The 9,472-nt window shown below is 37.4% G+C and overlaps 2 annotated features.

Moving 5' to 3' along the window:
* Positions 6,806 to 6,950: an enhancer, noted in NCBI's record as "145 bp enhancer 26 fragment used in the MPRA reporter construct; PK_construct_480". NCBI's record gives its function as "activates an SV40 promoter by MPRA in HepG2 cells {active_cell/tissue: HepG2}" and the evidence as "EXISTENCE:reporter gene assay evidence [ECO:0000049][PMID:23512712]".
* Positions 6,872 to 6,885: a transcriptional cis regulatory region, noted in NCBI's record as "HNF1 motif; enhancer activity is reduced when this motif is scrambled". NCBI's record gives its function as "necessary for full MPRA enhancer 26 activity {active_cell/tissue: HepG2}" and the evidence as "EXISTENCE:site-directed mutagenesis evidence [ECO:0005528][PMID:23512712]".

Raw genomic sequence — 9,472 nt, forward strand, 5'->3', positions numbered from 1 at the left:
TGTTCCACAGTTTCAGGTATCTTTTCAGCAGCTCCCCATTCCTAGTACCAATTTACTGTATTAGTCCATTTTCACACTGCTGATAATGACTACCTGAGACTGGGCAATTTACAAAAGAAAGTGGTTTAATTGGACTTACAGTTCCACATGGCTGGAGAGGACTCACAATCATGGCAGAAGGCAAGGAGGAGCACGTCACAAATTGCATGGATGGTGGCAGGCAAAGAGAGAGAACTTGTGCAGGGGAGCTCCTCATTTTAAAACCATCAGAAAGGATCCCTGAGAATATTCACTAGTTTCCAATGTTAGGGCTTGAAGGTAAAAGTAGGGTTGAGGTAGTTTAGCCCATTTTCATTGACTTTGGAGGGATTTGTAGATTGTGTCTCAGATAATGTTAAGACCCAGTGAGGTACTGCAGCAGTCTTTCAAAAAATTTTCAGGAAGACCCTGTCTCACCCTTGAGTTTGTGAGGGCAAATGTGAGATCAAGGAGTAAAAGCTATCAAGGTTATAATCTAAAAATGATTAATCTACTTAAACCAAATTGTCTAGGATTATAATCAGCAGAAATCTATGCCCTGGTTTTTGTAAATGTTGCATCTTAGTAGGTTTGAATATCAGAGATTCATGTTAAGAATTATGCCTGGCTGGGTGCAGTGGCTCACACCTGTAATCCCAACACTTTGGGAGGCTGAGGCGGGTGGATCACCTGAGGTCGGGAGTTCAAGACCAGCCTGACCAACATGGAGAAACCCCATCTCCACCTAAAATACAAAATTAGCCAGGCGTTGTGGCACATGCCTGTAATCCTAGCTACTTGCGAGGCTGAGGCAGGAGAATTGCTTGAACCTGGGAGGTGGAGATTGTGGTGAGCCGAGATTGCTTCATTGCACTCCAGCCTGGGCAACAAGAGCAAAACTCCATCTATTTAAAAAAAAAAAAAATCATGCCTGTGTGATTTCCTTGATACAAGCCTTTGGATACCAAAGGGCCTGACTCCTACACTGCCCCTGCAGGCAAGCCACATCATCAGGAGTTGCAACCTAGAATTTTTGAAGTAGTAAAAATTAAATTATTGAAGAATTATTATGGTAGCAAAAGTTAAATAAATCTGCTCAGAAAACTCAAACAGGTCCAGGAAAATAAGGCAGTTTAACTGATGGAATTATGGTTTTGGCTCTATGTGGCTCAGCTTTGACAGATCCTCAGCACAGATCCTCCATGAGCCAACAACTCCTACTAAATTCTTCCCTCTCCTATCTCAAATCAGGCAGGTCCACATGCATACTTCTCCCTTCCTGATGAAAACTGGCTTCGTCTCCAGCATACCCATTTTAGAAATCGCCATCACACAAGGCTCACCAGGTAAACCTGCACTAATCTGTCTTGAAAGCTTAGGCCCATCACTTACTAATGTTATGACCCTAAGTCAGCCCTTTACATTTTTGGTGCTTGATTTTTCTCACCTATGAAATAGAGGTAACAATAGTATCTAACTTGTACAATTGTTCTGAGATTTAAGTGAGAAAATGCATGAAATGAGTGTAGCATAGTAACGAAAAAATAGAGAACTATAAATTTTAGCTATATTGTTATTACCATTCCTTCAACACATCTCTCCAATTTGTCTCTCCTCAATTGCTCCTGACTCCAACAGAATCGTGACTTTTGTCACCTCACACCTTTTATTTTAACAGTTTTCTCACTGCTTTTCTTACCCCTTCGTTTTCCCTCTTCTTAATCTTAAACATAAGTAATAAAGTATTCCCTGCTCCAAATTCCCATCATATCAACTTCCTGGCTTATACACATTCTTCTACCCCTCTTTCGAGGTTTTTTGTAGACTGAATGCACTAAACTAAACTAAGAACATTGTTAATTCACAAGTATTGGATTCATTTTGGTAGCTTTCAGCTGTAACCAATGGTTAGAAGAAGATGTATCCTGTGGGTCTTCTCTCCCACAGCCTGGCCACTCAGAATACACCAATGTGAAAGCAAGACTCAGAGCTGACTCTGCTACTTATGCAAATAGTCACTTTACCCCTAAATTGCCATACCACCAGTTCTTTAAGCTCCATGAAGGCTCATCTCTCTTAGCTTTTCAGGTGTCCCAACAGTGGTTGCTCTGGTTTGAATGTTTGCGCCCCACAAAATTCATATGTTGAAATCCTAACCCCTAAGGTGATGGCATTAGGAAGTGGGGCCTTTTGGGAGTCAGTAAGGCCTTAGGCAAAGCCCTCATAGGTGAGATTGGTGCTTATATAAAAGAGACCCCAGAAAGCTTCCTTGCTCCTCCCACCACGTGAGGACACAGGATGAAGGCACCATCCGTGAGAAACGGGGCCCTCACCAGATGCCAAATCTGTCAGCACCTTGATCTTGTACCACTCAGACTCCAGAACTGTGAGAAATAAGTTCTGTTCTTTATAAGCTACCCAATTTACAGTATTTTCGTCTAATATACTTTAATTGAATGGACTAAGATAGTGGCCTGTGTGGAAAATTCACCTGAAGCAGATTCTAATAGAGGAATTTAACTATCCTTCTGTTCAGGGTTTCACAACAATATCCTCTGATAAACAACAGAACACAGGAAAGATTCAGAATTCTAACCTATGATGCCTTTCCAAAGGATGTAATTTCTTGGGCTTACTAGATTGCTCTGTCTTGTTTAAGCACCAGTTCCCAAGCCCATACAAATTTCTAGCCTGATCAGCCCTCATTTCACAGATTAAAAGTAATATCTAACACCCATTATACTAATTAATAAGGCAACTGATATTAATTAAAATAAAGACATTGAAACCTTCTGAATGCCCAGGCCTCTGGTCTTTGGGCCTCTACTTAGAAATTTTCATGTACTAACTAATCATCCCTGGAGTGCATATTCCTGATTAAGGTACCTAACATGTTAACTAACGGACTTTAAAGTATAGATTAAGTTGACTACCACCTTCTATGCTGGGTGTTTTAATAGTAAACTGCAGGCCAGGCACGGTGGCTCACACCTGTAATGCCGGCACTCTGGGAAACTGAGGCGGGTAGTTTTCTTGAACTTAAGAGTTCAAGACCAGCCTGGGCAACATAGCAAAAACCCTGTCTCTACAAAAAATCCAAAAATTACCCAGGCACAGTGGCTCACGCCTGTAGTCCCAGCATTTTGGGAGGCTGAGGCAGGTGGATCACTTGAGGTCAGGAGTTCAAGACCAGCCTGGCCAACATGGTGAAACTACGTCTCTACTAAAAATACAAAAAAAAAAAAAAAATTGGCCAAGTGTGGTGGCACGTGCCTGTAATCCCAGCTGCTTGGGAGGCTGAGGCAGGAGAGTCACTTGAACCCAGGAGGCGGAGGTTGCAGTGTGCTGAGATCGAGCCAAGGCACTCCAGCATGGGCGACAGAGCAAGACTTCATCTCAAAAAAAAAAAAAAAAATAGCTGGGCATGGTGGCATGAGCCTGTATTCCCAGCTACTTGGGCTGAAGAGGGGAGAATCACTTGAGCCAGGGAAGTTAATTAAGGTTGTGGTTAGCCAAGATCGTACCACTGTACTCCAGCCTGGGCAAAAGAGTGAGATCTGTCTCAAAAAACTCCAAAAACTGCAGAATATAATATCTAACTTTACCTCCCCCTATTTCCCAACACACACATTCATCTAGAGCAGAGTTTCTCAATCTGGGCACTACTGATCTTTTGGACTGGATAATCCTCTGTTGTGAAGGGATGACCTGTGCATTATAAGGTGTTAGCACACTGCTGGTGTCTATCCATGAGATGCCAGTAGCATCCCTCCCCAGTTGTGATAAGCAAAACGTCTACAGACATTGACAAGTATCACATGCTCTTAAAATCACCCCTTGTTGAACATTATTGCCCTACAGTGTGGCTGACCCCCTAAAGCCAACCCCACTTACCAGGATATTTTTCTTTCTTAATTTTACTTATAGTGGTCCCCAGTCTTAGAAGATACCTTCTCCACTGCGCTACTCAAATGTGACCCATGCTTTAAGACAAGACAGCACCAAGAATTTCAAAAAGCAAATGAAGCTCTCAGAAGTGATTTATTTGGACCACGTAAATGTGGGCTACAGATTTCTGTAGACCTCACAGCTCTAGGGTATTACACTTTCTCATTCTTCCTACTTATCTCATTTATGTTATCTGCCTGGCCCTATGAGAATTTACATTAATACTTAATAATAAGTTTTAATTCATAATAAGCCTAATAAGCTTCATAATAAGCCTAATAAGCTTCATAATAAGCCTAAATCATCCTTCCAAGAAATTGTCCACTGTGATGTCCATATTGACCTCTTCCTTTTCAGGAGAAGTTTTATGCTATGAAGAAAACTAAAAAAATTCAACACAACTCGAGTACTAAAATTTCTCACAACTTAATGGCTCCTGTTAAGAGAAGCAAAGTATTAAAACAGTGTACTAAAGTCAGCTGTTCTTTAAAATAGTCACAGAAATTATGTTATCAGACTGGCAAAAAAAAAAAAAAAAAAAATGCTCACCTGGGTCAATATGAGCCATCCTGCAATTTTTGAAAGACCAAAGACCACATAAAACAGAGCTTTTTTTTTTTTTGCTGTGTCACCCAGGCTGCAGTGCAGTGATGCAATCTGGGCTGCAACTTCGCCTCCTGGGCTCAAGCAGTCCTCCCACCTCAGCCTCCTGAGTAGCTGCGACCACAGGCGCATGCCACCACGTTCAGCTAATTTTTATATTTTTAGTAGAGACGGAGTTTCGCCATGTCGCCCGGGCTGGTCTCGAACTCTTGGGCTCAAGCGATCCACCTGCCTCAGCCTCCCATAGTGCTGGGATTACAGGCATCAGCCACCGCATCCAGCCAAAGACAAGGTTCTTAACAAGTATTGTGTGAGTGTTCTTTTACAAAGCAGATATAAACCTGTGTGTAATAGGCAAAGGGTATATAAAGGTGATGATTTTTCTGTGAACTACTAACTCTTTTTTTTTCTAACTCTCTTTAGTCCCTAAAAATAAACCCTATCATATTAAATCAAGAACATCATAAGTAAATGTTGGCAAAATACAGTTAGGTGAACAGTGGCTGTTCTCAAAAAGGCTCAATAAACATAGTAGAAGTTATAACAAATTAATGATAAATAAAGCACAGTGAAAATGTAGTGATATATCTGTGCATATTTATAAATGTGTGTTAAATTATTTAAAAGAGATTCTACCTGAGTCTAGTTTATAACATGTAAGATTTTAGTTTTCTCTAAAATACAATTGAGATAAAAATTTAGCAATACTTTATTAAGATATGACCTTCATATTTATTTTATCTCAAAAGTTTTTTAACAGGACAAAAAGCACTTTCCAAACTGAATTATATATATTAGGAAAGTCCATATATGTGTGAAGATCTTTATTAACTATCAGGATTTTTGTAAATATAAATTATGTCCATTGATTATCTCACTCCTTTAGTTTTCCAACTGAAATAGTTCTACTTCTCCTTTTTTCTATGATTATATCAAACACTTTACAGTGCTTCAGCAAAGCTATACACCCCCTGCCCCAAAAGGAGAAAATTTCCTTTTAGATAATATGGCATTTTTCAAAAGAAAAGGGAAGGACAAAAGAACTTAATACTTATCATGTGCCTACTGTGTTCAGTTCTATGTAAGACACCTTCAAAAATTTTTATAACCTTACAATAATCATCAGAGAGAGGCAGTATTACATTCAGTTTATAGATAGAAAAATGACGTCTCAGAGAATTTAAGAATATTGTCTAATCTCTTAAATGGAAAATGTGGAATTCAACTGAAGCATATCTGACTCCAGTCTTTGGTTTTTGAACTATTCATACCGGTCATCAGTTTTCTCCTTCTTTGCAAAAGAATCTTGCCTATAGTGGTCAGTCGGGTCCACTTAGTTCAGTTATCTGTATATTAAATAATACCCCAAATATTCCCTTTTCCAGCATTTTATGAGATACCCAAAACTTTAATTGATAATGAAAATAATAAATAATCCTAAGTATTAATAAGTTACATATTGATATGTTTAGAAATATTTCTATATATATGAATGCATTAAACAAATAGGTCATATGCATAGCATTCATGATAAGTATTTGGTAGATAAAAATGAGGATCTGAATAAACTTCCATGTCCTTCTCACAGTGGAACTGGTAAAACACTTTAGCTGGTAAAACAGTAACTGGTAAAACACTTAGCCATACTAATGGCTAATAAAATAGTCTGTTCTGGTGTGAATTTCTCTTTTATTTAGCATCTTGTTTTTCTTTAGTGGGTAATTCACTGGTTTTGTGCAATCCTAATCTACTATGAACATTGATTTCTTGAGTATCCAGATATTATTTTCAGAATCTAGTTTTTCACATGCTGAAAGTTCAAGTTTGAGATCCATCACTACATGGCAATAATATTTACTCATGATGAAAATATTTGCCAGTCACTATGTTAAATATCTTGCATTTACTGTCTTATATCCTATTTACAAAACCTTGCAAGGTAGATATTTTTACTTCCTTTTGTAGTTGAAAAAACTCAAGCTTATGGGGATTTTGTAAATTCTAAACTCACACAGTTGGGAAATGGTGAACTGTAATTCAGATGCAGACTGTCTAATTCTAAGCTGCATACTCACCCACCTTACAGCTGAGGAGGGAATGTTGTTCTAATAACAAGCCTTGCAAAATGTCAGCTGCATGCTTTACATGCTAACCAAGATTACATTCTTCCTCTGTTTATGTGGTTTTCTGAGCTCTGGGTAAGGCAACTATTCTCTGTGCCACAAAAAAAGTGTTTTATTCAGTTTTTTCTGGAGGAAATAAGGCTAATGCTGTTTTCTATGGAGAAAAGCATAATTTCCAAATTAATGATTAACTTGAAAATGGATGATTCATTGGGCAAGCATTTCCTATACCACAGCATTACATGTTTTCCAATTATAGTGCTCAGGGGAGGTTCTTAGTTAATTCTTAGTTCTATCTAAATAGAAGTTATATTTTTATTAATTTATCAGTTTTATCAATGTATATATTTTATACAATTTATATATTTAATTAAGTACTACAACTTACATAGCTAACATCACCTTAAGAGCATAATATAAAATAATTTTAGCTGTATAAAATAAATTAACTGAGTTACATAGAACTTAATTTCACCTTAAGTCCAACTTGTCCTAAATTGAAGGATATTAAAGAGCCCTAAAAATGCTTTAAGTGGTGATTTGAACTTCTAATGGAAAATGTTATAATTTGCATACTGAAAAATATCTCATTGTACAAGGATAGTTTCTGTGACCTCTTTTCAATATGCTATATTGAGTTTCTCAAGAAAAAGGGGGAAGAAGGATTTTGCTAATCTGTCTCTATATCTCACCTGGTTCCTGCTGAAAGCAATGACAGGCACTTGTAAAAATATAATCCTAAAATATTATGAAGCTAGCTGGCCTACCTGAGCTCCAATTCACAAACTCAATTTTCTCAACACCTTCTAAAACCAACTATACTAGCTAATTTTCAAAGCAAGGAAAATTTAGTCTGACAGTCTATATGCCTAGAGGAATCATCATGCAATAATTATTGGGTTTGTAGTACAAATTTACCCAGTGGATATTGGGTCAATTTTTCTTTTCTAAATATTTATAAAGGAGTATGTTAGAAGTCACATATAAGGGATTTATCATAATACAACATTTAATAGACATGTGGGCATGCTTTAGCCAAAATGAACATACTTGGCTAGGGATGAATACATCTACTATTTACAGTTAAATATTTCCTCTACCTGGAGAGATTCCTGTGCTGGAAGGCATTTTAGAACATACAGTATTAATATTATTTCTAAAAATAGGGTGAGTAGAGTGACAATCTTCTAAAATCCCTGCCAGGAAGAAGAGAAATGCTAAATATAGATTGAGGAATCCCATCTTATTTGGGAGATTAAATCATATCTGTATAAATTATTGGAGGCCTAGCAACTTTCCAACACAAGCTAGTTAATTGTTACATTTTCAAATTCTATACTTCCTGTGTGTTACTTTGTAATGCACTTTTGTAATCACGGTATCTTTCACAACCTTTTCCAAGTTCCAAACCACTTCTATTTACATAACTTGATAAAGATCAGTAAAACTGACTCACTAGCTAAAAGAGATAATCATAGGGTAATAGGCAAAACAAGATAAAAAGCAGAAATTCAGTGTATTCTAATAAAAAAGAAAGAATGCTCGTCTTTGGTTTCAAAGCACTAAATTCAAGTGTCATATAGCATAAATTTAATACTTAATGTTCTCCTATAACTTTACATTGTCTTTCTCATGCATGAATATATGTCATCTTTATAGCCTTCCTTGAGGAGAGTATTATTGTTATATCTATTTTATAAAGGAGTAAACAATAATTAAAAGAATTGAAGTGGTTCAGGCATGGTAGTTTATTGCTGTAATTCGAGCACTTTGGGAGGCTGAGGCAGGCGGATCACTTGAGGTCAAGAGTTCAAGACCAGCCCAGCCAACATGGTCACTTGAGGTCAAGAGTTCAAGACAAGCCCAGCCAACATGGTGAAACCTAGTCTCTACTAAAAAATACAAAAATTAGCTGGGTAAGGTGGCAGGCACCTGTAATCCCAGCTATTTGGGAGGCTGAGGCAGGAGAATCGCTTGAACCCGGGTGGCAGAGGTTGCAGTGAGCCAAGATCATACCACCACACTCCAGCCTGGGCAACAGAGTGAGACCCTGTCTTAAAAAAAGAATTGAAGTGTTTCACAGGAATTAAACTCAGGTCCCAGACTAGATCCTTTGCACTTTCTAAGGCAAGCCCCATCAAAAAGCCCCATCAAAAAGGAGCATAAAGCATTGCTTAAGAATGGAGATAAATCAATAAAGACACAAATCAAATTGCACTTTAGGGAACACAGCTGTTGTATTTTATGATTATTTTGTGGTTCTATAAGACAAGATTATCCCCATATTTCTTCATATGCCAGTCTAATAGTAATAAGTTTTGCCTGTTTGATTATAATTAATTCTATTAAATAATAGATTTCATTCCACTCTTTATAGATTTCTGTCTCAATGATAAACATGTTACCCTCATATTTGAAAGTTTACAATTGCTGAGTAATACAGTAAGTGATACATTCCAAGACCCCCAGTAGATGTCTGAAAACATAGTACCAAATCCAATTGCTGTCAATCAATCAAAACACATTTCTGTTCATATTTTCTACCCACAAATTTACTGCCTGTTCCATCTTAACTAAGCACTTATCATGCACTATGGCTGCATGCACTGCAAACTTTTGTAGTTTTAGGTGCGATAGCACAACTAGCATGAATTTCTTTCACTTTCGTCACTATTTCGCAGATGGAAGATTTGTTCTTAGTAATCTTAGAAACCTCAGTATATTATTTTGTTTTCTTTGCTTATTGAGAACTTTTACCTTTTATCTTAAAGGAAGCATTT

The sequence above is a fragment of the Homo sapiens genome, chromosome 1 (assembly GCF_000001405.40).
Source record: "Homo sapiens chromosome 1, GRCh38.p14 Primary Assembly".
Classification (NCBI taxonomy): domain Eukaryota; kingdom Metazoa; phylum Chordata; class Mammalia; order Primates; family Hominidae; genus Homo; species Homo sapiens.